At 56.9% G+C, this 25,721-nt stretch overlaps 1 protein-coding gene across 12 annotated transcripts in view, besides 6 other annotated features; it reads left to right on the forward strand.

Moving 5' to 3' along the window:
- SEMA3F (semaphorin 3F) overlaps positions 1–25,721 on the forward strand; it is a 34,018-nt gene that overhangs the window by 6,687 nt on the left and 1,610 nt on the right. For 4 of the 12 annotated variants that reach the window (XM_005265381.5, XM_011533998.3, NM_004186.5 and 1 more), the window contains exons 3-18: positions 12,049–12,209; positions 12,308–12,370; positions 12,487–12,606; positions 13,352–13,444; positions 15,024–15,117; positions 20,540–20,659; positions 20,900–21,039; positions 21,160–21,274; positions 21,442–21,511; positions 21,676–21,820; positions 22,848–23,070; positions 23,699–23,787; positions 23,922–23,963; positions 24,145–24,302; positions 24,537–24,604; positions 24,869–25,002. In XM_005265381.5, coding sequence (XP_005265438.1) covers positions 12,049–12,209; positions 12,308–12,370; positions 12,487–12,606; positions 13,352–13,444; positions 15,024–15,117; positions 20,540–20,659; positions 20,900–21,039; positions 21,160–21,274; positions 21,442–21,511; positions 21,676–21,820; positions 22,848–23,070; positions 23,699–23,787; positions 23,922–23,963; positions 24,145–24,302; positions 24,537–24,604; positions 24,869–25,002 — 1,835 coding nt within the window. The other 8 variants (XM_047448700.1, NM_001318798.2, XM_005265382.5 and 5 more) reach the window with 5 other exon arrangements.
- Positions 5,146–5,760: an enhancer, noted in NCBI's record as "H3K4me1 hESC enhancer chr3:50204323-50204937 (GRCh37/hg19 assembly coordinates)". NCBI's record gives its function as "activates a minimal SCP1, AML or CMV promoter by ChIP-STARR-seq in primed H9 embryonic stem cells {active_cell/tissue: H9 hESC(primed)}" and the evidence as "EXISTENCE:reporter gene assay evidence [ECO:0000049][PMID:30033119]".
- Positions 5,146–5,986: a biological region, named in NCBI's record as "Sharpr-MPRA regulatory region 10077".
- Positions 5,692–5,986: a silencer, noted in NCBI's record as "tiled region #10077; K562 Repressive non-DNase unmatched - State 23:Low". NCBI's record gives its function as "weakly represses a minimal TATA promoter and a strong SV40 promoter by Sharpr-MPRA in K562 cells {active_cell/tissue: K562}" and the evidence as "EXISTENCE:reporter gene assay evidence [ECO:0000049][PMID:27701403]".
- Positions 5,692–5,986: an enhancer, noted in NCBI's record as "tiled region #10077; HepG2 Activating DNase matched - State 5:Enh". NCBI's record gives its function as "activates a minimal TATA promoter and a strong SV40 promoter by Sharpr-MPRA in HepG2 cells {active_cell/tissue: HepG2}" and the evidence as "EXISTENCE:reporter gene assay evidence [ECO:0000049][PMID:27701403]".
- Positions 7,994–8,204: a silencer, noted in NCBI's record as "fragment chr3:50207171-50207381 (GRCh37/hg19 assembly coordinates)". NCBI's record gives its function as "represses an EF-1alpha promoter that drives an FKBP-Casp9 reporter gene in an ReSE screen in HepG2 liver carcinoma cells {active_cell/tissue: HepG2}" and the evidence as "EXISTENCE:reporter gene assay evidence [ECO:0000049][PMID:32094911]".
- Positions 8,620–9,593: an enhancer, noted in NCBI's record as "H3K4me1 hESC enhancer chr3:50207797-50208770 (GRCh37/hg19 assembly coordinates)". NCBI's record gives its function as "activates a minimal SCP1, AML or CMV promoter by ChIP-STARR-seq in primed H9 embryonic stem cells {active_cell/tissue: H9 hESC(primed)}" and the evidence as "EXISTENCE:reporter gene assay evidence [ECO:0000049][PMID:30033119]".

Here is a 25,721-nt window from a genome sequence, read left to right on the forward strand (position 1 = left end):
TCAAGCTGGTGGAAAAAGCAATGGATATCCAGTTGGTCAGGGCCATCTGGGAGCCCAGCACCTGCTGTGTACCAGGCCCTGTGTATCCCCCTACACTGGGTGGTCTCAGCCTGGTTATGCACACATGAAGTGGCCCTCAGTGAGGAGCAGGCGCCCACCAAGTGTGTGTGGAGTGAGAATGGAGACCAACACTTCAAGAAACTGGGCTCCCACCATCTTCCTCCCAGAGTACACGTGGGTGGCACAGAGAAGGTTACTCTCAGAAGCACTGCTGGTCACTGTGGCTCCATGTCATAGTTTTTTCATCTGTGCCTTGGATGGACACAGCAGTTGACACCCCAGGCCTCAGGGGCTCAGGCTGGGCACTCCCTGCCCTGCCCTGCCCTGGGTCCTGCTGTAGTGGGGAGGTGCCGGTTCCTGCCTGGGTAGGGCTGGACCCTCCAAGCTAGAGGTGCTGGCATAAGGGGCCACACTGCCCAGGGTAGATAAAGGAACAAAGGCAGGAACTGGGCCAGGCTTGGGTTTGCTGCCCGCCCATCCGCCTGGGCACCCCAGCCAGGTCTAGAGCCAGAAGGGTGTGAGGGTCAAGCAGCCCAGGGTTCCCTCAGATTAGGGGGGCTCCTATGGCCCAGCTTCTGGGCTTCAGCAGCACAGCCAAAATCAGGCAGAAGTGAGGGTCAAATGGAGATTTCCAGGAGCAGGTGAGGTGTTTGTTCATTCCTTGCTCTTGAGAGAGTGGAGCCTGGGCTGGAAGCCTGGACAGACCCTCCTTCCTTCACCCATCCATGCCTGGGCCTGGAGTCCCCTACACTGCAGAATCACTGCCAAATCTCAGAGAAAAAGCTCTTCCTTCCCCCACCTTGAGATGACCCAGGCTCTGGGGCACCACCTCCCTCCGTGGCAGCAGCAGGGAGGTGTGAGGGCCCTGCCAGGCCCTTTGTTCAGCCTGGGGAGTGTTTACTTTTTCCCAGGAAGCTACCCCACGACACACTGCTGCTGCCTGGGCTGGGTTTGGCCAGGGATTGGGGCCAAGAGATGTTTGGTGGGGTAGAAGGACCCTGTGATGACATGAGACAGTTGTGCTGCTAGGGAAGCTGAGGCAGAAGTAGGGAGAGGGAGCAGAAGGTCACCCTGCCAGGGGAGGTCAGGAAAGATGAACATAATCGAAATAGTAGTAGGAGCCCATGAGGATAACCAAGCAATGGTCCCTCCAAGACCTAAAGAGGGTCTGCCTAGGTTTCCTGTGAGGAAGGAGGCTTACGGGGGCTGAGCGGCTTCCCAGGTCACTCAGGAGCAGGACTGAGATGGAGCCTGCATCCGCCTGATGCCTGAGGCTGTCCCAGGACTGAGAGTGGAGGGCAGGGATGGTGGTGGTGCTGGAGGCACAGACCCTTCACATGAGCTAGGAACAAGGAAGATTCCAGCATTCTGCAGTGCTGGTTTAGGCTTCCTAGCCTCGTTTCCCAAAGAAAGGGCTGGGGTCGCACTGGGCAGGCTCCCCATGCCCTCTGTCTGCCGAAGCAACGGAATTGGGGTTTGCTTATTTCCAGGCTATAAATCCGGCCCTCCATCACTCTGGCCCTTCCACTGAGCAGGGTCCCTAGGAAGGCCTCTCATGTCAGAGATGGGAACATCAGGGCCTAAGAGAGGAAAGGGCTCCTGTTCCAGAGCAGCCTGGAGTTTGAGCCCTCCAGGCCAATAGCCCAGAACAGTGCCACCGCTCACATCATTTGCATGTGGCATCAGAGGACCAAGGTTGCCAGGTTTGGAGATGATGAGGTTAGAGGTTAGGAAGGGTCACAGCCCGTTGACTTCCCCTCAGGAGTTGATGTGAGTTGAGGTGCCTCTAGCAAGCCTTGATGGGGCCTTAGCCCTCAGGCCTGGTGCAGGAGTAGGGGTGGGGCTGGAGAGCTAGAGGACATGCTCTTGCCCCCCAGGGGCTCCTTGGCCAGCCAGAGCAAGGCATGGGGCTTTGGTGGGGGAGGAGGGGGAGGAGGCCCAGGAGCTTTGAGGCCAGTGTGGCACCAGGGAGCTGGGCAAGGGTCAGGTGGCTCTGGCAGCTACAGTGGGGGTTGGAGCTCACAAGCCAGGGAGGGTAGGTGTTCCAGGATACGCCAGGATGAGGGAGGAAGGAAGACCCAAAGCATGAACTTGAGCCCAGATCCCTTGAGGCCAGATCTGGAGTTTCAGTTTTCTGGAAATGGGAGCTGCCTTACTCCTGAGAGACTTGGAAGTGGCCGCTTTGGAGTTGGGAGGTCCTGGAAGCTGCACATCCCCCAACTGGCTAGGAATTGGTCTTTGGAGAGAATGGAGACAGGGTCCTTGTGCTTGCTGGAGAACCTGCCTGACGCCCAGCCTGGGTCAGCCAGGCCAGGGGCTGGGGCTTTCAGCTGTGGCCTTCCAGGTCAAGTGGAGCTTCAGATGGGACCTCCACTGTCTGGGCCTCCGCAGCACAGGCCTTGTCTCTGGTTCCCTGGCATGATGCCCGCCCCTCCTTCCCTGGCTCCAGCTTCCCTTGGCACTAAGTGAGGAGCTGGTGCATGCTCAAGGAGTAAATCATGTTCCTTGGCAGCCCCCACTGCTTCGTAATCGTAAAGAATTTAAAGAGAAACCGCCAAGATAAAAATCTCACCAGCCCATAAAGGCATCTTTCACCCTGCAGCTTGGGAGACAGTGAGCCTCAGAGTGGGCTCTTGGCTGTCTGCACCTGTGTGTATGCACCTCCGGCCCCTTGACTCCTCCAGAGGTGGTAATAGCTCAGAAGGTGGCTTTAGGGCCATGGGTACCTGGTCCTTGACTCCTGGGAGACCTCCATCTCCTCACTCAGGAGAGTGGGGTGCTTAAATTTGGTGTAATGCAGAAGTGGTGATGGTGGTGGCTGAGCTAGCTGGTCCCAAAGGCAAAACCCAGTTCTACCAGTGTTAGCTGTGTGAGTTCAGCCAAGTGGCTTAGCCTCTCTGAGCCCTGGTTTCTCCTGTGTAAGGTGGGAATGGCAGTGGCCCTGTGGAAGCAGCATCATGAGGGCTCAGACTGTCTTGCTTGCATCCTGGCCATGGGTGGATCTTGCTTGGTGAACATCATTCTGTGTTCCCACTGCCTTTTCTGGAAAATGGGAGTAAGAACAATACTGGCCTCGTTGTGTTGTCAGGAGGATTAACTGTGTGAGTATGGTCACTGTGGAAGAAATCTCAGTCACCAGGAGCGATCCTGAGGCTGGTGTGCAGGTGAGGGCAGGTCCAGGGGCATGCCCCAAGGAGTCCCAGACTGCCTCACCCCTTCCTCCAGAATTCTAACTTTTGGTAAGGGAGATGGTATTTGGAAAGGACTCCAGGAAGGACCCTGAGTCCTGTGGGGTGGGTGGAGTAGGGTCAGGAGGAGGAAAATTCCTACCATGGGTATCTGGGCAGGCTTCATGGAGGAGGCTGCATCTTGAGCAGGGGAGGGGAGGTTGTAGGGGAGGGAAGAGCTGGAGCACAGGGAGGGTGCATGTGGTGCAGCACCTGGGGAAGAGGACAGATGCTAGATGCAGTCTTGCTTTTGGGACAAGGATGTAGAGTTCTACTTTCTGTTTCTGGTTTTTAAGCTCTTTTTCCTCATGGCAGAGGTACTAAATATGTATTATGGAAAAATTCCAGTGATACGGATGCATTTGGCGGGAGTGATGCCTTGGAAGTAGCTCCCTAGAGACTGGCTCCAAGGCCTGGTTGGGACGCACAGTTGGCTGCAATAACTCCTTCTGTGAATGCTGCTCCAGCTCCTGCCGTGTGTCCTAGGGGTGACCAGACCTGGGCTGCTCACTCAGGCATCTGCAGGGCTGGGCAGAAAGCATGTTTGCCTGGCTTGGCCTGGTGCTATCCTGGGAATCTGAGCCCCGCCTCAAGAAGCCCTGGGAGCTTTGGAGAAGCAGAGAGGATTCCTGCTGCATTTTTCTTAGAAATAGCAAGAGGGCCTTTGCCAGAGGCCTGGATGCCAGAAGGCTATGGTCTGAATCCAAAGCCTAGCTCACGTGGGTGCCAGAGCTTGGCAGGCCTACAGCCCCCCACCCAGCCTGCTGGGCAGCCCCAGGGAGAGGGTGGAGGCCTCCTGGGCTCCAGTCCCTGACCACTGGTCCTGACCCAGCAACGAATGGGGTCTGGGCAGTGGCTGCTGGCCTAGGATTGGGGGGCTAGCCTGTTGGGGAGGGAGTGGGGCTCATCGGGCTGACGGGCTGGGCTGACTTCTGGCACTCTCACTGGGCCGAGGGGAGCACTGGCTATCTGGTGCATCTCTGCAGGGCAAAGACAGACCCAAAGCAACCGGCCCCTCCAGGGATCAGGAAGCCTCAGCTCCGGATCCCCCTTCCCCCACTCTTCTTCCTTCCTTCCTCCCCCTACTCCCCCTTGCCTCCACCCCTCCCTTTGCCACCCCTCTTGGCTTCCTACCCGGACATGCTCTTTCCTCGGACGTCTCTGTACCCAGCCAAGAGCCTTGTTCCTTCCCACTTGGGGCTCGGTGCTGATGCCCTCATTTCCCCCGGCCAGAGTCCACTGCCTCGTGTGTCTGCTGTTCAGCCAGCACGGTTGCCTTCTAAGGGTCATACACTACAATTGGCAGAGCGGCTAGAATTTGGGAGCCCTTTGGGCTCCTACAGCTCCAAGGCTGAGTGGCTAGCACTCCAGGGGGCCTCTCCCAGGGCTGCCTGTATTGCCATTTTTATCAGCGCCTTCCTGGCTGGGCCTGGGGCCTGTGCGGAGTGCTCACTGCCTGCCCTTGACTGGCTACCTGCTGAGTCCTGCTGAGGTCCTAACCCAGCCTCACTGCATCCTCCAAGGCTGACCCCAAGCATGCACCTGTCTGCCCTGTGCCTCGGTTTCTCCATCAGAATGTTGGGGAGGGGCTAAGACTGTCTGGAACATCCCGGGAATCTCTGGGTGGGTGTTGTGAAGGGGCTGCAGGGACCGCAGGAATCCGAGGAAGGCCGCAGAGATGGGGGCTGGGCCCAGGGGAGGGGGAGGGTTTTGACACCCACCAGCCTGTTGGTCCCATCTTGGCCTGTCTGTCTGGGTGATTTATCAGAGTAAATGAGCCATGGAGAGTTTGTTGTCTTTTGCAGTCATGGGGAGGAGGAGGTGGTGGAGGAAGGAGTGAGGGGTTTCCGGGCCAGGTCTGGAATGTGGGAGGAGGAGGTGGGTCCCCCGGGGGCCTCTGAAACTGGAGGCACTCACTGAATGGCCTTTTCACTCTCCCCACCTGAGAAATGAATCAGTGCAGCCCTCCCCTTCAGAACAATCCCCTCTTTCCATCCCCTTCATACTTCTTGGGGCACATTCCTGTGTGATCTGCTTGTCTGGTCATCTTCTCCCACCCCCTGCTCAGGACCAGGTCTCTTGACCACAGTGTCCTTCCAAAGCTGAGCCGGAGCCCTGACTTGCCCAGCTGGTGAATGCCCAAATGTGTTCTCACAGGCAACCATGCACACTGTTAAGTTCCAAGTGGGACGTCTAGGCCTCTGGAACTACCAGCCCAGGCCTAGGATGGTCAGGTGCATGGACCATGGGGAAGGCAGGGGTCAGTGGAGGTGCCGAGGCCGGAGAGACCCCATCTGCTGGGACAGAAGGTCCGAAGTCATTGGGTGTCCTTCGGGGATGAGGCATGGATCCCCTGGTTCCCGGCTGGCGAGTCAGGGAGTGATCCTGCTGCTCCGTCACTTCTGGCTTTTCCTGGTTTGAGGCTGAGCTGTGCCCTCAGCCTATCCTGTCCTGGGCGGAGTAGGTGAGCACTGGGGCGGAACGGGCGTGGGAACAGCATGCCTGGACCTGCTGGCCCCAGCCCCCTGCCCCCTGCCCCCAGCCTTTAGTCACTGAAATGGGAGGGAAGTGTACAGTGGCGTTTTGGCCCAGCTGGGCTCTTTACCCCTGTACGGTGTTTACTGAACAGCTGGGATGTTTACAGTAGCCCTTGCAAAGGGGCCCCTCGTTGCAGGGGATTTCCCATCTTGAGGGTCCCACTGGGGCTCTTCTGACCTCACCAATTCCCTGCACCCCTGGGATAGATGTGTCAGGGATACAGAGACCATAACCATCTCCACCTTACCAGAGCCAGTGGTGCCTGTCCCCTTGGCCTCTGGCCTTCGGTTCCTCTGCTCTGGAGGAGCCAACATTTCCCACCACATTTCCTAGAGTGGCAGCTCTAGGTGGTGAAATACGGTAACTGGGTCCCCAGTTCAGACATTTAAATTAAATTCAATCAGAGCGGTTATTGAATAAAAACACGCGGAGTCATTTACATGTTAATTATGTTGAATGGACTACTAGACCATAATTAGTTGCTAATTGGGTGAGAGTGGCTGTAATTGGTTTTGTTGGCACCAACCTGGCTCACCTACCTGGGGGGAAGCGGGGGTTGGTGTGGATGGCTCCTAGGGAGGCCCTCTGGGTCTCCAATCTGGAAGGCCTGGCTAGAGATGCTATGCGGGGGCAGATCTCCAGGGGCTTAGGGTCAGAGGAACCTGGAACCTCTCCCCAGGGAGGGTGCAGCTGGGGTCTGGCTTCTAGGGTTCCCATCCAGAGCATAGGGGGAAAAGGGGGAACTGGAGGAGCTACCCCAGATCAGCAGTGATAGTCTCCCCTGCCCAGCCCCATGTGGGACCTGGGCTTGAACAAATGGTAAGTGCCCAAGAGTGGGTCTGTGGGAGCCCAAGGCAGGCGTCACTCAGGTGTGTCTCTGCACATACTGGGCCCTGGGTTGGCCTGATCAGGGTGGCGTTGGGGTGTAAGTGGGTGTGCCAAGCAGGAGGAAGGTACGTACAAAGGCATCTGGGCCTCCCTGCCCCCCCGCTTAGCTTGGCTGGGGTTCCCGGGGTTGTAGGTCTGTGGCCATGGGCTGAGGCCTTCCGGCTGGCCGCTCATTAAAAGAGGATTAGGCTGAGAGCCAGGGGGCCAGCCCAGTCCCCAGGCCTTCCTCTGGGGCTCCTCACAGCTTTGGGGGAGTGATAAAAGGGCCGGGGCCACCCCTTCCTGGATCCTGTGGGGGTATCCGGTAGGGACCACCTGGGCCCTGCCATGCCTCTTGCCGCCACTGCTACTATAGCCTTGGCTACCTCAGTTTCCCTCCTCAGAAGGTCAGGAGGTCTGTCTTTCCGGTGGGTGAAACACTGACAAAGACCCAGGCTGGTGCCTCCCCTTGTCCCCCAGTCCCATCTCTCTTCAGCTCAGGGATTAGGGCTGCACTGGCTCACTAGAGGTCAGAGGTCTGAGCTAGGCTGCAGGGATCTGTCTATCATCCCCAGTCCCCATCACTGCTGGGGGAGGTGACGCTGTCAGTCAGGGCCTGCTGCTTTGTGGGGCTATAACCAAGGGGGCGGGCTGCCCACCTCTGCTCCAAGACTCCTCTTTTTGCGGCAGCCCACACCTCACTGCACGCAGACCTGATGTCCTGGAGACCAGCAGCAAGGGGTAGGGGCTGCCCACTTGGGGTCTTCGGGTGAGGGCTGTGGACACGCCTCCTCAGTGCCTGTCCTCACCTGCCCGCACCTTTAAAGTAAGGTATCACCAGCTGCTTCCCAGATATGAGGGACCGGGGGCCCCCAGGACCCAGCCCCGTGTGCCTTGAGAAGGTCCTGCCTCTGGACCTGTGCCAGGCCGCTTTGGGCTGGGACCCCAAGTGCTTGATGGCCATGAGAGAGTCCTGGAGGCCAGGAATGGCTGCGGAAATGAGGTGTCTGATGCCAGAAAAGGCTCTTCCTTCCCGATGATGGGAAAATCCTTCCCGGATGTCACCCCTCCCAACCTGTGCCCAGCCTGGGTGAGAGTATGGGGGTGGGGAGCCCTTCCCAGGAGACAGCACCCAGGCACACCACCCTTCCTCCCCCTAAGGTCAAAGCTTATCTGGGCTGGAGTCCTGATCCCCACAGAACCCTTGATTGTGCCCAGCCCCTCCCTCAACATTGCCATGGCATTCGAGGAGGCATGGCGCTCCTGCTGCCAGAGCCGGGCGTGGGACAAGTGGAGCAGATGTGGGGATTGGCCTTAGGACATGACCAGGCTGGGTCTGCATCAGCCCTGGCCCCCACTGATGCCACCTCAGGTCCCAGGTTCCTTTGTTCCTTCTGTCCCAAGTCCCTGTCCCTTAAGGGAGCTGGGGCCTGGTAGGATCTGGCACCTGCTGATGGCAGGTTTTGGAGGAGGATACCCAGGGCTACTTGCCCACCCCCTGCTCTGACTCAGGCTGCTTGGAGGAGTGAAGGCTCCCAGTTCCTTTGCCTCATGGTGGAGTGGGGAGCAGGGGACAGGACACCCTGTGACCTGGGTTGAGTACCACTCTCCTTTGGGCCTCAGTCTTCCTGTCTGCAGCTGGGGGTGCAGGGCTGTCACAGGGCTCCTTGTTTCCCTTTTCACCTACAGTCTGGCATGAGTGGGGTCAGAAGTCCAGCTGTGGGTTGAGAAGGCTGGAACCTTACACCTTCTTTGCTCTGGGACCCGGGGAAGTTCCCACCCCTCTCCACCTTGGTTCCCCTCTGGTAGGCTGGGTTTGGATGAATGGTTTGGGATTTAGCTCTATTCCTGTGGGTTGGGGATGGGGTAAGGACACACTGGAGTTGGGAAGGCTGGAGCTGAGTCCACAGGTTGCCTCTTCCTGCCTTATAGCCCTCTCTGCTCCCCAATCTAGCACTAGGAAATGGAGTAGCTGGGGTGGGAATGGGGATGGATGCCCTACAAGAGATAGCGACACGTGGAAGCCTGCTTCCTTGGGGAAGGACTTGGGACCTCATTCCACTCTCCTTTCCCTGAAAGGCAGAGACACCCATGAAGGATGGGTTGGGGGAAGACCTGAGGAATGCCAGGCCGTGAGCCTCTCTCTGAGATCAGAACGGGGTCACTGATCCTCAGGGTCACTTTGAATATCAGTACCAGGAGGGCCTGAGAGATGGTCTAGACTAGAGAATGAGGCTCAGAGAGCGAGAGTGCCCCCAACTCAGGTCATGAAGCTCACCCAGAAACTCAAGCCATAGCCAAGGATCCCTGATCCTGGGTCCCACCCCTTCCCCACCATGCGCGACCTCCTGGGGCTCCCCCTCCCCCCACACTGTTTCCACAGTGACCAAAGCGTCACGTCCTGTGACACCAGAGCCATTGACGCCATATCCCGTGGCCACTGGGAGGGGTCCCGCAGGTCCTGAGTCATGTGCCCTGTCCACGGGGAGCGAGTCACCTTCCGGCCCTGGCCCTCCTGGCAGGCAGTCTCTACCACCAGGACTGGCTTCCCCTGGGCCTCCCCCTCCTTCAGCCATGGACCTAGGTGGGAATCCCACCCCCATGCACTCTGGCATGTCACATCCCTTCCCTGTGCCCTGTGCCCTTGGTATTGTGAGCACAGGGCTTTGTGCACAGCGGGTGTTCGATAACTGAGCAAGGGGCTCCCTCCACCCCCACCTCCACCCAGGGGCAGACTGGGGGCAGCAGGCAGAGAGGGTCGAGGCCAATCCTCTGCCCCTAAGCTGGGACTCAGTTTCCTCATCCTCTGAGTGTTCTCTACGGCCTTTCTCACAGAGGGAGCTGGAGTTTGGGAGTGCTGGGGCTTTGCAAGAGGGTAGGGGACTCGGACTTGGGCCTCGGGCTCTGGGAGTCTTGGTGCAGGGTTGATATTATAGAGGCCCAAGGCTGCGCAGGGTTGGAGCTTGGGGATTATGGCTGATTGGGTTCCTGGGGGCTTAATGGCTGAAGCTTCCCCTTACCCGGAGTGCCCGTGTCTGAAGGCGCCCACTTAAGCCTCTAGCCCCTCCCCCTGCCATTGCCCCCAAAGTGCCCCCTAGCCCAGGGGATGGGTAAGGGCATGACCGAGCCATGCCCCCAGCCAGGGTATAAATAACCCCTGGCGGGCTGTCCCAGCCTGGGGGGGCTCCACTGGCAGCCCCACTTCCTCTCTGGCCACTTCCCAGCCCTGGGGGTGGGGGAATGTTTACTTTCCTGTTGTCACTGTGGGTGAGCAGCCAGGCGGGTGAGCGGCCAGGCGGGGGACTCCGAGTGGCCCAACAACAGGTGCGGGACAGGTGCCTGGGCCGCCCTGCCCAGGACTTCAGAGGCGCCGCTGGACAGGCGGGTGAGGCCATCGCCAGGCAGGATCGGCCCTTTGATCCCTCGGCGTCCCTGCGTCCCAGCGGTTGGCCAAGGTCATCACCTGCATTCCCTTGTCACCGCATAGTCAGGGCCAGGCAGGGCAAGACCTTTCCTTACCCACTAGTTTCTCAGAGTGAGGTCCTGGGACCAGACATGGGCTCTGGGTCAGCTGGTGGAACCCCCTGACCCCAGCCCACCTCTGCCCCACCTTCAGGCTGTGTCTAGGGCCTCGGATCCCAGCTGTTCTCCCCCTCCAGGTGCCTTGGGGCCTGGCCCAGGCCTCTCCCTTGACTGCCCCACCTGTGAAATGGGTTACCAGCTGGGGAGGGGAGATGAGACATGTGTGACCCCCTTGGTGAGTGCCTCATGTGTGGTAGGACATGTGTGCGCCATGTGCATGCCTGTGCCACGTGTATACATGCATGCACTCTTCTGTGTGCTGCTATCTTAAGCCCCCTGTGTGTGTGAATATTCATCATCCTCATTACAGTGTTCCCTCTTTTGCTGAGCTAAAGATAGCTGGGGGTGGGTGGAGAGGGGGCTTGCCAAGGGGACCCCTCGGCTCTCCCTCCCCTTGGAGGCAGGTTCCCAAGCTTCTAGGAGTCCTTTGTCTGTCATTGTCTGAGCCCCCTCCTGTCCTTCATCCTTAGGAAGGACTTTTCCCCAGCATCCTGGAGTTGGAGGGGCCAAGGCTGCTGGACTCATGCAAAAGGGAAACTAGAGGACCCAGTTGAACCCTGCCTTTAGCCCCAGGGTTGTAGCTCCAGGGAGAGAGCCTCTTTCCCAGAAATGACTGTCCTGGCTCATTCAAGGTGGCCTGAGAGTTCCACCATTAGCAGCCTTATAGGGTCTGGGGGAAGCTGGGGTCCGTAGGGCAGTGTGTCCAGCAGGGCTTTCTGGTCTCCTGGCTAACCTGCTTCAGACCAAGTGAGGACCTTGCTGTGCACCAGCTGTGCCCTCTGCCTGGTGGGCAGCCAGGGTAAGAACAGGGCATCCAGGCTCCATGCCAGAGTCTGCCGGCTGTCCCAGATATACCCGGTCACACCCCTATCTGCTCATTAACCCTTTTAAGCCCCTGTGTGAAGCTGGCCCCACCCTGAGCGTGGGAGCATTAACCCCCACCTGAGCAAAAACTCTTTGATGCTGTTGCGTACCCTGGCCCGCACCTACCGCCCTTTCATTGGGACCCAGAGACTAGCTAGGGCTGTCTATGAATCAGGGGTTTAGCTTTGGGTGTGGCGCCTTCCCTGGCCTGCCTACCTGTGCCACTTTGTCCTCTCAGTCTGTCAGGGACTGGAGAGGGAGCTGAGAAGGATCCAGGAAGGGGAGCTGGAGGTTTAAGACCACTGTGTGGGCTGGGCACAGTGGCTCATGCCTGTAATCCCAGCACTTTGGGAGGCTGAGACAGGTGGATCACGAGGTCAGGAGTTCGAGACCAGCCTGACCAACATGGAGAAACCCCATCTCTACTAAAAATACAAAAATTAGCTAGGCGTGGTGGCGGGCGCCTGTGATCCCAACTACTCAGGAGGCTGGGGCAGCAGAATCGCTTGAACCCGGGAGGCGAAGGTTGCAGTGAGCCAAGATCGCGCCATTGCACTCCAGCCTGGGTGACAGAGTGAGACTCCATCTCAAAAAACAAACAAACAAAAAATAAGCTGGGTGTGGTGGCTGACGCCTGTAATCCCAGCTAGTCAGGAGGCTGAGACAGGAGAATCGCTTGAACCCAGCAGATGGAGGTTGCAGTGAGCCGCAATCTCGCTACTGTACTGCAGCCTGGGCAACAGAGTGAGACTTGATCTCGTAAAAAGAAAAAAAGAAAGAAAGAAAAAAGACCACTCTGTGGTGGGGGTCCTGAGGGGAACCTCAGGGCCTCAGTCTCCCCTTTATCAGAGGGGGTATGGCTGGATGGTTTCCTGAAGGTCCTAATTGGTGCCCTGCCCTCCACCCACAGAGCTGAAGGCCACAGGCACCGCCCACTTCTTCAACTTCCTGCTCAACACAACCGACTACCGAATCTTGCTCAAGGACGAGGACCACGACCGCATGTACGTGGGCAGCAAGGACTACGTGCTGTCCCTGGACCTGCACGACATCAACCGCGAGCCCCTCATTGTAAGGGCTGGCCCTGATGTGGGACGTGGGGTGGGCACGGAGCCCCAGGGCTCAGGGCATGTCCAGAAGGCTGCACCTTCTGACCCCCCTCTCTGCAGATACACTGGGCAGCCTCCCCACAGCGCATCGAGGAATGCGTGCTCTCAGGCAAGGATGTCAACGTGAGTTTGGTGGGATCCACAGGTGGGAAGGGGGAATCCACAGGTGGGAAGGTACTGCCCCCAGTGAGGGGGCAGGCCTGGCCAGGGCACCTATGCAGCCTTCCCTGTGGCCCCAGGGCGAGTGTGGGAACTTCGTCAGGCTCATCCAGCCCTGGAACCGAACACACCTGTATGTGTGCGGGACAGGTGCCTACAACCCCATGTGCACCTATGTGAACCGCGGACGCCGCGCCCAGGTAAGCCCCAGCCACCCTGGCCCTGTGCTGCCCCCGCTGGTGGCTGCATCCCAGGGTCCTGATGGGAGGAGGGGCTTCAGCCCCAGCCCTGCCACTTCCGAGCCTTTTGACCTTGGGTGAGTGACTTCTTTCACCTCGCTGAGCCTCAGTTTCTTCACTTGAAAATGGGGCTAACCGCTGCCTTTCTCACAGGTCGGTGTGAGGAGGAGGCAGTGAGCTAAAGCTCCCAAAGCTCCTAGCACTGTGCCTGGCACATAGTAAGCACTTGCTCCATATGTGGCAACAGCTCTCTTGGCTATGCCTGTGGACCGTGCCCCGACGGCCGAGCCAGAGGGCCTGGTGGGGGCCTTGCAATAGGAGGCTGGACCCCTGGGTCAGCTTCTACCATGTGGCCTGGGGGAGAGCTGCCTTCCACCCCCAGGGCCAGGGTTGTGGGGAGCTGCCCCTTCCCCAGCTCTGCCCCTTCCTGCCTGCTTCCACCCTTTTCCATTTCCATGTGGGCATGTGTGTGAGCTGGCGTGAACTTGTAGGGCATGTGTGAGAATGACTGGATCTGAGGGGCACCTGTGTGTGCAGGTGTGTGCCAAGCCTGTGTGTATGTATGTACACACGCATAGACGTGCTCTGGGGGGCCCACGTGTTCACGTGTGTTCCTGGCCTGTGTGGTGTTAGAGGCTGGCAGCCCGAGCCCGCTCCCCCAGCCCCTGCCACCCCCAGCTCTAACCCCTGTTCCTCGTCTTCTCAGGCCACACCATGGACCCAGACTCAGGCGGTCAGAGGCCGCGGCAGCAGAGCCACGGATGGTGCCCTCCGCCCGATGCCCACAGCCCCACGCCAGGTGGGCCTCATCCCTCCAGGCCTTTGCCAGGCAGCACTGCCTCTGAGCGGAACTCACCCTGGGCCTGCACCTGAGGCCAGCCTCCCCAGGGCCTCCCCTCTACCTCTGTGCCCACACCCTGTCCCCACCCCTTCCCCTGAAGAGCCCTCAGGCTCAGAAGGCATGCCCAGCTGGACTCATGTCAGCCTCAGTGTGACCCCTGCAGGCAAGAAATAATGAAGCCGCCAGGTGGGGAAGACAGGAGCCCTGGGGACAGCCATGCCTTAGCCCTCAGAAAGCATGTGTGTAGACACACAAGAGCACACACCGGTGTGGATGTGGGCCTTCCTCACTCAGCACCCAGAGTGGAAAGTGGCACATGAGTGCAGTCTGACACCTTACTCCCAGGTGTTCGTGCCCCATGCCTCCCATGAGTCATCTGTGGACACAGGTGTCCTGCACACTCATGTGCTTGGGGCGCTCTTCTCCCGTGTGGTATCTGTCCACTAGTGATGACCTGGGTCTGGGCTGGGAGAGCTGGGGCTGGGCAGGGGCGGGCAGGGGGGCAGGGGCTGCCGGTGAATGACAGAGCATGTTTGTGGTGGGGAGTGCAGAAATGCAGGATCGTGTGGATTCTGTGTGTGTGTGTCCATGGTGTGAGCAGGCGGTTCCGTGTGCTGGCGGTGATATGTTCAGAGCTGTGTGTGCACCCTTGTGTGTGCAGGAAGTCACGTGTGCAGTGTGTAGCTGGAAGTAGGCCTGTGTGCACCTTCCCATCGCCATCCTGCCACCTGCTGCCACCTCCTCCTGCCTCTGTTCCTCTCTCCTTGCCCCTTTCCTTCCCTCTGCCTGGCTTTCTCTTGTGGCCTCTGTGCTCACCCCTGTCCCAGTGCCTTTTCCAGCCTTCCTAGCATCTTGCAGGCTGGGCTGGGAGGCACAGGGGGCTTTGTGAATTCCATGTGGTCTGGGCTGGACTCCTTGACTCCTGGCTCCCTGGGGAGATGTGGAGCCTGGGGGCTGTGCTGAGGGACAGGAGAAAGGTCATGGCCCATTGGTCCATCCTGAGGACCACAGGTAGGACACAAAGCCTGAGGATACAGTAACCTTAGAGCTCTCTGGCCTGGCTAGACCTGATGGCAAAGGACAGGACCCCAGGCCCTTAACCAGTCACTCCTGCCCTGGCCAGGTCTGCAGCGCTTTCTTGACCCAAGACAGGCAGCCACAGCAAAGAGCTGTGCCTCTGTAGCCCAGGGGGCCTTGGCCAGTGTCTTTATGAGCCAGTTGGCATGGAGGGGCTTCAGCCCCTACAAGCCCACTCCATGTCCATCTCATAGCCCACAAGGCAGGGCCCCTTGAGACTTGGTCCCCAGGTCTTCCCTAAGACCTGGGACTAGGAAGCACCCCCCTTGGAGCCCACAGCATGGCCCTGCCCTGGGAGACCTGGCTGGATGGAGTTTAAGGCCAAGGAATGCTGGGGAGTGTAGGGGGTGGGCTCGGGGTATGCCTGGGGGCTCATTCTCACCCTGGGAGCCTGGTGACCCTTACACTTCCTGGCTGGGGGACTGGCCTGGACGATGCTGAGCCCCGCTCTGCCTTACAGGATTACATCTTCTACCTGGAGCCTGAGCGACTCGAGTCAGGGAAGGGCAAGTGTCCGTACGATCCCAAGCTGGACACAGCATCGGCCCTCATCAGTGAGTGCCCCCCAACCCCGCTCTACAGTCTCAATGTGTGGCCTCTGCCCCTGGAGATGGGGCATGGCACCAACACTTACCCAAGGGCAGAGACCATGACTAGGCTGTCCCTGAACTCCCCAAAAGGCCCCACCTGGCAAGGGGGAGAGGGTGCAGGCCAGACCCCACTGTGAGCTGAGGTCAGAGACTGGGTGGTAGAAGCCTCCGCCTGGCCCCTTTGGATGGGGGACCAAGGAAGCCAGGTCCTACCCTGAAACACACAATGTGGTCCATGCAAAGTCCAGAACCCTCCTGACCATAGGCTTCCTAGAAGAGAAGATAAGCCGAGTGCGTATCGGGGCTGGTCTGAGGGGCAGTCCCATAGCATGTTCTTGGTGTGTCTGAGAGGCTGGGAGAGCCCTGTAGCGAAGGACCAATGGAGAGTTCCGGCCCTGTGACCAGACGGGGAGAGCATGTTCCTGGTCTGGGTAGGTGTCTGGGAGGGTTGGGGGCTGTTCTCTGAGTAGGGGTCCTGCCGGGGTCTCAGGAGCAGCTGCTGCCCCTAACTGCAGGTTGGGTGAACCCATCACTGACCCTGGCTCATGCACGCTGCCTGTTTTCTGATTGTTCAACACAGTCTGCCTCTCAGAGCAGCTGTTGGGCACTGTGCCACCTCCAAGCCTGGGAAAGGCCCTGGGGTCAAGGGGCAGACATTATCCTCCCCCTCTTGGCAAGTGAGAAGGTCCCAGCCTGATGGCACAGCCCAAATCACTCTGATGAGGAAAGACAGGGCCTGCCCTGGGGGAGCCTCAGATGTGGTATGTTAGAGGCAAGTACATTATTAAATTTTCAGGAATTTTTTGAGCCAGTTGTTAAAGACAACTATTATTAAAAGTTAAGGCCAGGCTCAGTGGCTCACACCTATAATCCCAGCACTTTGGGAGGCTGAGGGGAGTGTATCATTTGAGGTCAGGAGTTTGAGACCAGCCTGGACAACATGGTGAAACCCTGTCTCTACTAAAAAATAAAAAATAAAAAACATTTTTTAAATTATATAAGTTTACGATTAAACATTAAAACAAAGGTAACAACAATAAAAAGTAACAAACACTCAAAACTAGCCGGGTGCGGTGGCTCACACCTATAATTCCAGCACTTTGGGAGACGGAGGCGGGCGGATCACCTGAGATCAGGAGCTCGAGACCACCCTGGCCAACATGGTGAAACCTTGTCTCTACTAAAAATACAAAAATTAGCCAGGCGTGGTGGCAGGTGCCTGTAATCCCAGCTACTAGGGAGGCTGAGGCAGGAGAATCACTTGAACCTGGGAGGTGGAGGTTGCAGTGAGCTGAGATCGTGCCACTGCACTCCAGCCTGGGCAACAGAGTGAGACTCCATTTCAAAAAAAAAGAAAAGACTTGAAAATTGAAATTGATCTATGGGCTGCAGAATGGATGTTGTGTTAGCAGGCATGAAAACAACATTTGTCTCCTTGCACACCTCCATCAGAGCTCTGATGGAGACCAAGACCAATAAGCAGTAATATTTTGAAAGGAATCTTTTTTTCTGAGCAGTGGGTTTAAAATATTCAGAAAACCGGCCAGGCACAGTGGCTCATGCCTGTAATCCTAGGACTTTGGGAGGCTGAGGCGGGTGGATCACTTGAGGTCAGGAGTTCGAGACCAGGCTGGCCAACATGGGTGAAACTCTGTCTCTACTAAAAATACAAAAATTAGCCAGGTGTGGTGGTGTGCACCTGTAATCCCAGCTACTTGGGAGGCTAAGGCAGAAGAATAGCTTGAACCTGGGAGGTGGAAGTTGCAGTGAGCTGAGATCGCACCACTGCACTCCAGCCTGGGCAACTGAGCGAGACTCTGGCTCAAAAAAAAAAAAAATCGGTAAACCATGCTGTAAGCAGATGTGCTGTCATTCAGGCTTTGTTGTTATTTATAGAGCTCAGGCAGAGTAGATTTTGCAAAATTCTTTTTCTTTTTTTTTTTTTTTTTTTTGAGATGGAGTCTCGCTCTGTCGCCCAGGCTGGAGTGCAGTGGTGTGATTTCAGCTCACTGCAAGTTCCGCCTCCCGGGTTCACGCCACTCTCCTGCCTCAGCCTCCTGAGTAGCTGGGACTACAGGCACCCGCCACCATACCCAGCTAATTTTTAGTAGAGACCGGGGTTTCACCGTGTTAGCCAGGATGGTCTCGATCTCCTGACCTCGTGATCCACCTGTCTTGGCCTCCCAAAGTGCTGGGATTACAGGCGTGAGCCACCACGCCCACCCCTATTTCACATAATTCTTAAGGGCCCTAGGGTTCTTGGAATGGTAAATGAGCACTGGCTTCAACTTAAAGTAACCAGCTGCATTAGCCCCTAATAAGAGAGTCTGACTGTCGTTCGAAGCTTTGAAGCCAGGAATTGATTTCTCCTTGATAGCCGTGAAAATCCTAGATGGCATGTTCTTCCACGAGAAGGCTGTTTCTTTCTTTCTTTTTTTTTTTTTTTGAGATGGAGTCTTGCCGTATTTCCCAGGCTGGAGTGCAGTGGCACCATCTTGGCTTACCACAACCCCTGCCTCCTGGGTTCAAGCGATTCTCCTGCCTCAGCCTCCCAAGTAGCTGGGATTACAGGCGCATGCCACCATGCCCGGCTAATTTTTGTATTATTAGTAGAGAAAGCGTCTCGCCATGTTGACCAGGCTGGTCTTGAACTCCTGACCTAAAGTGTTCCTCCCACCTCCGCCTCCCAAAATGCTGGGATAAGAGGTGTAAGCCACTGGCCCTGGCCAGAAGGCTGTTTTATCTGCATTGAAAATCGTGTTTAGTGTAGCTCCCTTCATCCATGATCTTATCTAAATCTTCTGGAAAACTTGCTGCAGCTTCTCCATCAGCACTTGCTACTTCACCTTGCATGTTTATGTTTTGGAGATGGCTGCTTTCCTTAAACCTCATGAACCAGCCTCCGCTGGTTTCAAACCTTTCTTCTCCAGCTTCCTCTCTTCTCTCAGCCTTCATAGAATTGAAGACAGTTAGGGCTTTGCTCTGGATTAGACTTTGGCTTAAAGGAATGTTGTGGCTGGTTTGATCTTCCACGTAAACCAGTAAAACTTTCACCATATCAGTGATAAGGCTGTTTCACTTTCTTATCATTTGTGTGTTTACTGGAATAGCCCTTCTAATTTCCTTCAAGAACTTTTCCTTTGCATTCACAACTTGGCTAACTAGTGCTAGCAGCCTAGTTTGGGACCTATCTCAGCTTTCAACATGCTTTCCGTACTAAGCTTAATCATTTCTAGCTTTTTTGTTTTTTTTTATTTGTTTGTTTATTTTTTGACAGAGTTACACTCTGTCCCCCAGGCTAGAGTGAAGTGGCATGATCTTGGCTCACTGCAACCTCCACCCCCCGACTCCCTGCTCCCCGGTTCAAGTGATTTTCCTGCCGCAGCCTCCCAAGTAGCTGGGATCATAGGCGCCCACCACCACCTCTGGCTAATTTTTATATTTTTAGTAGAAGTGGGTTATGCCATGTTGGCCAGGCTGGTCTCCTGACCTCAAGTGATCCCCTGCCTCAGCCTCCCAAAGTGCTAGGATTACAGGCATGAGCCACTGCACCTGGCCCATTTCTAGCTTTTGACTTAAAGTGAGAGATAATATGACTCTTCCTTTCACTTGAACACTTAGAGGCCATTGTGGGATTATTAATTGATCTAATTTTAATATTGCTGTGTCCCAGAGAATGGAGAGGCCCAAGAAGAGGGAGAGAGATGGGAGAATGGCCAGTAAGTGGAGCAGTCAGAACACACACAGCATTTATCGATTAAGTTCACTGTTTTATATGGGTGAGGTTCACGGTGCCCCGAAATAATTGCAATAGTAACATCAAAGATCACTGATCACAGATCACCATAACAGACAGTTTGAAATATTGCAAGAATCACCAAAATGTAGGCAAGGCGCGGTGGCTCATGCCTGTAATCCCAGCCCTTTGGGAGGCCGAGGCAGGTGGATCACCTGAGGTCAGGAGTTCGAGACCAGCCTGGCCAACATGGTGAAACCCCGTCTCTACTAAAAATACAAAAATTAGCCAGATGTAGTGGTGGGCACCTGTAGTCCCAGCTACTTGGGAGGCTGAGGCAAGAGAGTTGCTTGAGCCTGGGAGGTGGAGGTTGTAGTGAGCTGAGATGGTGCCACTGCACTCTAGCCTGGGTGACAGAGCAAGACTCCATCTCAAAAAAAAAAAAAAAGAAGAATTACCAAACTGTGACACAGACACAGAGACACAAAGTAAGCATATGCTGTTGAAAAAATGGTGCTAACAGACTTGCTTGACACAGGGTTGCCACAAACCTTCCTTCTGTAAAAAATGCAGTATTTGCAGTGCACAAAGCCCAGTAAACTGAGGTGTGCATATGCTTCCTAATTCTTTCACTACACTTTATTGTTAGCTATGCTCTTTTTTTGTTTTTTTGTGTTTTTTTTTTTTATTTTTGTTCCTGCTTTTTGAGACGGTTGTCTCACTGTGTCACCAGGCTGGAGTGCAGTGGTGCGATCTCGGCTCACTACAACTTCCGCCTCCCAGGTTTAAGGGATCTTCCTGCCTCAGCCTCCTGAGTAGCTGGGACTACATGCGTGCACCACCACGCTCAGCTAATTTTTTTGTATTTTTAGTAGAAACAGGGTTTCACCACATTGGCCAGGATGGTCTCGATCTCTTGACCTCATGATCTGCCAGCCTTGGCCTCCCAAAGTGCTGGGATTACAGGAGGCATAAGCCACCATGCCCGGCCTCTTTTTTTTTTTTTAAGATGGAGCCTTGCTCTGTTGCCCAGGCTGGAGTGCAGTGGCATGATCTCGCTCACTGCAACCTCCGCCTCCCTGGTTCAAGCAATTCTCCTGCCTCAGCCTCCCGTGTAGCTGGGATTACAGGCACCTGCCACCATGCCCAGAAAATTTCTGTATTTTAGTATAGGTAGGGTTTCACCATCTTGGCCAGGCTGGCTTCCAGCTCCTGCCCTCAAATGATCCACCCACCTGGGCCTCCCAAAGTGCTGGGATTATAGGCATGAGCCACTGCAGCTGGTCTATTAGCTATGCTCTTGAGGTGATTTACATTTGTTGTGTCTGTGGGGTAGAAATACTGTACAGTGGTGTTGGCAGCTCTTCCTGATTTTGCTTTCAGTGACCTCAGGTTGGTAGCTTGAAATTAGTTGTGGCAGGAGTATTCACACCACAGAAATGGGCTATTGCTACTAATCAGAGCTGATAGTTACTAATCCCAACCCTCCCAGAGCCAGTGGTGAAACACTGACCAGCACTCCACTGGAGATAGGATCATGCCCCAGGGAGCCTGAGCGGGGAGATAAGGCCCTGCCCTGGAAGTCATCTGAGCTGTGCCCTGGCCCTAGCAAACAGCAGCCCCCCAACTGACCCACTGGCCTACCCACAGATGAGGAGCTCTATGCTGGTGTGTACATCGATTTTATGGGCACTGATGCAGCCATCTTCCGCACACTTGGAAAGCAGACAGCCATGCGCACGGATCAGTACAACTCCCGGTGGCTGAACGGTAAGCGCAGCCCCAGGAGCCCTTCCGTGGCCATGTGTCTGGGATGCGGCAAGGAGGTCGTAAAGAAGCACATGTGGGGGAAGTGGGGACATGTTTAGCCTATGACTACCTGGGGCAGGGGTAGTTTCTTATCTGGAGAGGAGTTGGGGGTGTTCTTGCACCTGGCTGGGGATTCTGTTGGAGAACATCAGGGGCACCATCAGAGTAGGGGCTCACCCAGCTGACCCCTGCCACCTGCAGACCCGTCGTTCATCCATGCTGAGCTCATTCCTGACAGTGCGGAGCGCAATGATGATAAGCTTTACTTCTTCTTCCGTGAGCGGTCGGCAGAGGCGCCGCAGAGCCCCGCGGTGTACGCCCGCATCGGGCGCATTTGCCTGGTATGCATTGGCAGAGCCACCAGGCTGCCCCTTCCACCAGTTCTGGCTTCATCAGCCCTGCTCCAGCCAGGGCTTGGGGTCAAGAGCTGATCTGACCCGGCCTCTTGCCCCACCCCCCAGAACGATGACGGTGGTCACTGTTGCCTGGTCAACAAGTGGAGCACATTCCTGAAGGCGCGGCTCGTCTGCTCTGTCCCGGGCGAGGATGGCATTGAGACTCACTTTGATGAGCTCCGTGAGTGCCCAGCAGGCAGGCAGGGTGCTCTGGCTACAGCAAGAGGGATAGAGGCGGGATGGGCGATCAGGGTGCCTTTGGTGGGCCCCCTCCCCTGTGCAGGAGTGGGTGGGGCCCAGGGGCTCCCGCCCATGGCACCCTCCAACACCTTCTCCCTCTGTCCCCAGAGGACGTGTTTGTCCAGCAGACCCAGGACGTGAGGAACCCTGTCATTTACGCTGTCTTTACCTCCTCTGGGTGAGGCTGGGGTCAGGGCCAGCAGTGGCAGGGAGTGGCCCCGTTGGGGGATTGTAACTCGTGGAGAACCCCAGCCCGGTGGCGAGCTGTGGGGAGGGGGCAGTTTGGGGAGGGGCCCTAGGTGGAGGGTCTGTCCTGCTCAGCAGCGCCTGCCATGCCCACAGCTCCGTGTTCCGAGGCTCTGCCGTGTGTGTCTACTCCATGGCTGATATTCGCATGGTCTTCAACGGGCCCTTTGCCCACAAAGAGGGGCCCAACTACCAGTGGATGCCCTTCTCAGGGAAGATGCCCTACCCACGGCCGGGCACGGTAAGGACCCCACTCATCCTGCCTCTCCCCTTTCTCTTCTTCTAAGAGGCCTCTGGGTCAGGCTCTTTGCAACATGGGCCCCACCATCATGGCCCTCCCAGCCAGCGGAGGCGGTGAGCTGTAATGCACACACAGACGGGCCTTCACACACAGTGTCAAGCTGTGGAGGAGCCCAGATGGGATTCTGGGACAAAGATGGTGGGTTGGGCGTGGTCGGCTGCTCCTCAGAGGGTCCTCTGTGGGGCTGTTTGGGAGCTGAAGGTTGGGGGGAAGCGTCTTCCCTGCAGGTGCTGGAGGCAGGCTGGAGGTTGGCTCAGCTGAGGAACAGGAGGCAAAGAGCTGGGGAGGGGCAGGGCCAGGCCTCAGGCAGGGTCTCAGAGGTCACAGAGGCATGTCACTTTATCTTGATGTGACACCGGCTGATGTGGGAGCCTAAGCAGGAGAGCAGCGGATCTGGTCCAATGCAGTTCTGACTCCATGTAGTCAGGACTGGGCTGGAGAAGCTGGTCTCAGTGGGGGACAGGGGAAGCTTCCCTCCAGAGGTAACCTGGAGTCAGAAGGATGGGCCAGAGGTAAGCTGGCCATGACGGGGGGCAGGCTGAGCCCAGGTTCAGGGGACAGCTTCAGGAAGGAGGAGAGTGAGCCTGGTGTGTGACAAGGACGTCGGGGCCTGCAGTCCAGCTGTGCAGGAGGGAGACGGGTGAGACCCTAGGAACAACCAGAGAGGAAGGAGATGACAGGGGTGGGGAGGGGGACATGGAAGGGAGTGGTCCGCTTGGCCAAATGCTGCCACGAGGTCATGGCACCTGAGGCCAGGGAGGTGGCTGTGGCATTTGGCCACCTGGGACCTTGGCCAGAGCAGGACCTGTAGAGGTCAGGTGCAGGGCAGAAACTTGGAGAGCGGGTTTGGGGAGAGGAGCAGGTTGAGGTAGTGGGGACAGACAGTGCAGCGGCCTCTTCTGAAGCTAATGGCTCCAGCCTGCCCTGCCCAGGCAGCCTGGGACTGACACTCGCCACCTGTCCACAGTGCCCTGGTGGAACCTTCACGCCATCTATGAAGTCCACCAAGGATTATCCTGATGAGGTGATCAACTTCATGCGCAGCCACCCACTCATGTACCAGGCCGTGTACCCTCTGCAGCGGCGGCCCCTGGTAGTCCGCACAGGTGCTCCCTACCGCCTTACCACTATTGCCGTGGACCAGGTGGATGCAGCCGACGGGCGCTATGAGGTGCTTTTCCTGGGCACAGGTACCCACTGCTGCTCCCGGCCTCTCCCACGCTGGGCCCACCGGGTGCGGGGTGCAGATCCTTGGGGCTGGGGCTTGCCCTGCTAGGGCTTGCTGCAAGCTCATCAGAGTCACTTCTTCATCCTCATCCTTTGGTGCCTTCTCCCTATTGATGGGATAACAGAGGCTAGGGGTGAGAAAACCCCATTCCCACTTCCATCCCCAGGGGCCCAGGAGAACAGGGACACTGGGCATCTGGGGACTTATGTATGTATGGCAGGAAAGGGGTGGAGACAGATGGTAGGCACCTCCAGGATACAGAGGCCATACACATGCTCGTGTGTGCACACACATGCCACAGTGCACCCCCTACAGTTCCAGCAGCCCAAACACAGGAGAATGCATGCCCCAGTGTCCTGTTCTCAGCAGGGCCCAAAATCAGGGTCTGGGTTGGTGGGGGCAGACCATGGCCATGACCCCCTATGTCCTGGGCCAGTCCCCTTTGACCTGGGGAAACTCTTCCACCTTGGCACAAAGCTCCAGCTCCAATGCCCTAGGGGGGTTTGGGCCCTGGTGGGGGAAGGGGCTGAGGCTGGTACCCCTTCCCCAGCATCCCCAGCCCCACTGAGGCCCTGCCCGGCCCGTTCCAGACCGCGGGACAGTGCAGAAGGTCATTGTGCTGCCCAAGGATGACCAGGAGTTGGAGGAGCTCATGCTGGAGGAGGTGGAGGTCTTCAAGGTGGGTGTGACACCACCCAGTCCTGACCTCCCCACCTTTACCCTCCCCCCAGTCCCAGCCTCTGACCTGAGACCTCTAGGTCAGGGCAGGGAGGGGGTCCCTGGCATCCCAAGCTGATCTTTATCTTTTTCTAGGATCCAGCACCCGTCAAGACCATGACCATCTCTTCTAAGAGGGTAAGCCTTTGGCGAGGTGAGCCAAGGTTGGGGACAGGGCCTGCATCCCCTCAGGGTCATGCCCTTGGCACAGGGATGGGTAAACTGAGGCATGGAACAGGGGAGAGGAGCCCAGCCTAGCTGGCTGTTGGTGGGGCTGGCTATGGGACAGGAACTGACAAGGCCCTACCCTTTGCCCCAGCAACAACTCTACGTGGCGTCAGCCGTGGGTGTCACACACCTGAGCCTGCACCGCTGCCAGGCGTATGGGGCTGCCTGTGCTGACTGCTGCCTTGCCCGGGACCCTTACTGTGCCTGGGATGGCCAGGCCTGCTCCCGCTATACAGCATCCTCCAAGAGGTGTGGACCCCTAGACACCTAGAATTTTAGCAACCAGTCCCAGGGCCCTATCCTAGGGGATTGGGGGTGCATGTGATATTACCCGGGGTGCATGTGATATTACCCTAGGGGAGTCTTATGGGTAAGACATCACTGCCCTGGGGAAAAAGGGCCCTGCCCTGGAGTCAGGGAGATACAGGGACCTGGGGGGGCAAGCTTCCTGGGAGCACTCCTTCAGGGGCTATCCTCATCCAGGCGGAGCCGCCGGCAGGACGTCCGGCACGGAAACCCCATCAGGCAGTGCCGTGGGTTCAACTCCAATGGTGAGTATGCTGGGCCTCACTGTGGGGTGCTGCTCACACTGCAGAAGTCCACGCAGCCCACGAAGCTGCTCACAGGGCCCCCACTGTAAGGGTGCTCTGATGGCTAATGGAGGGTGGGGGCTAATGGAGATGGGATGTCCCTAGTTGCCCCATCAACACAGAGCACTACATTGGTGAGTGGGTGCCCCTCGGTGCCTGCCCCGAAGCAGTCAGCAGGCTGCCCGGAGGTGATGCTGCTTTTGCTCAACCCCTCTCACTCTAAAGCCAACAAGAATGCCGTGGAGTCTGTGCAGTATGGCGTGGCCGGCAGCGCAGCCTTCCTTGAGTGCCAGCCCCGCTCGCCCCAAGCCACTGTTAAGTGGCTGTTCCAGCGAGATCCTGGTGACCGGCGCCGAGAGGTGAGTTCCTGCGCCCGGTGCTGCACCGTGGATGTGAGTCCTTGCACAGTGGTGAAATGTAGTAGAGGAGTGATCTGGAGCAACTCTCATGCTGTGAAACCCCTTCCAAGCTCCCTTCCCTACATGCAAATCCTTTGAGTGAAAACAGTTACATGGAAACTCCCTGGGATTGGCCTCATTCTATGGAAAGTGTTTCTGGGTATGCCTGTTCACATGAAAATTCCATATGCATACCACATTGGGGGTGTACCTTCTACAAAAACATCATGTGAGTGAGCTCCAGTATGTGGAAATTCTATGGGGCCCTCATTTTATGAAAATGCCCTACAGGTGTCCCTGTTTATGTGGAAATTCTATGTGGTTATCCCAATTGGATATTCTCGTTAAATGGAAATTCTGGCTGGACGTGGTGGCTCACACCTGTAACCCCAACACTTTGGGAAGCCAAGACAGGCAAATTGCTTGAGGTCAGGGGTTCGAGACCAGCCTGGGCAACATGGTGAAACCCTCTCTCTACCAAAAATACAAAAATTAGCTGGGCATAGTCATGCATGTGGTCCCAGCTACTTGGGAGGCTAAGGTGGGAGGATGGCTTGAGCCTGGGAGGCAGAGGTTGCAGTAAACCGAGATCATTCAACTGCATTCTAGCCTAGGCGACAGAGCCAGACCTTGTCTCAAAAAAAAAAAAAAAAAAAAAAAAGGAATTCTGTGTGTGCTTC

The sequence above is a fragment of the Homo sapiens genome, chromosome 3 (genome assembly GCF_000001405.40).
Source record: "Homo sapiens chromosome 3, GRCh38.p14 Primary Assembly".
Taxonomy (NCBI): Eukaryota; Metazoa; Chordata; class Mammalia; order Primates; family Hominidae; genus Homo; species Homo sapiens.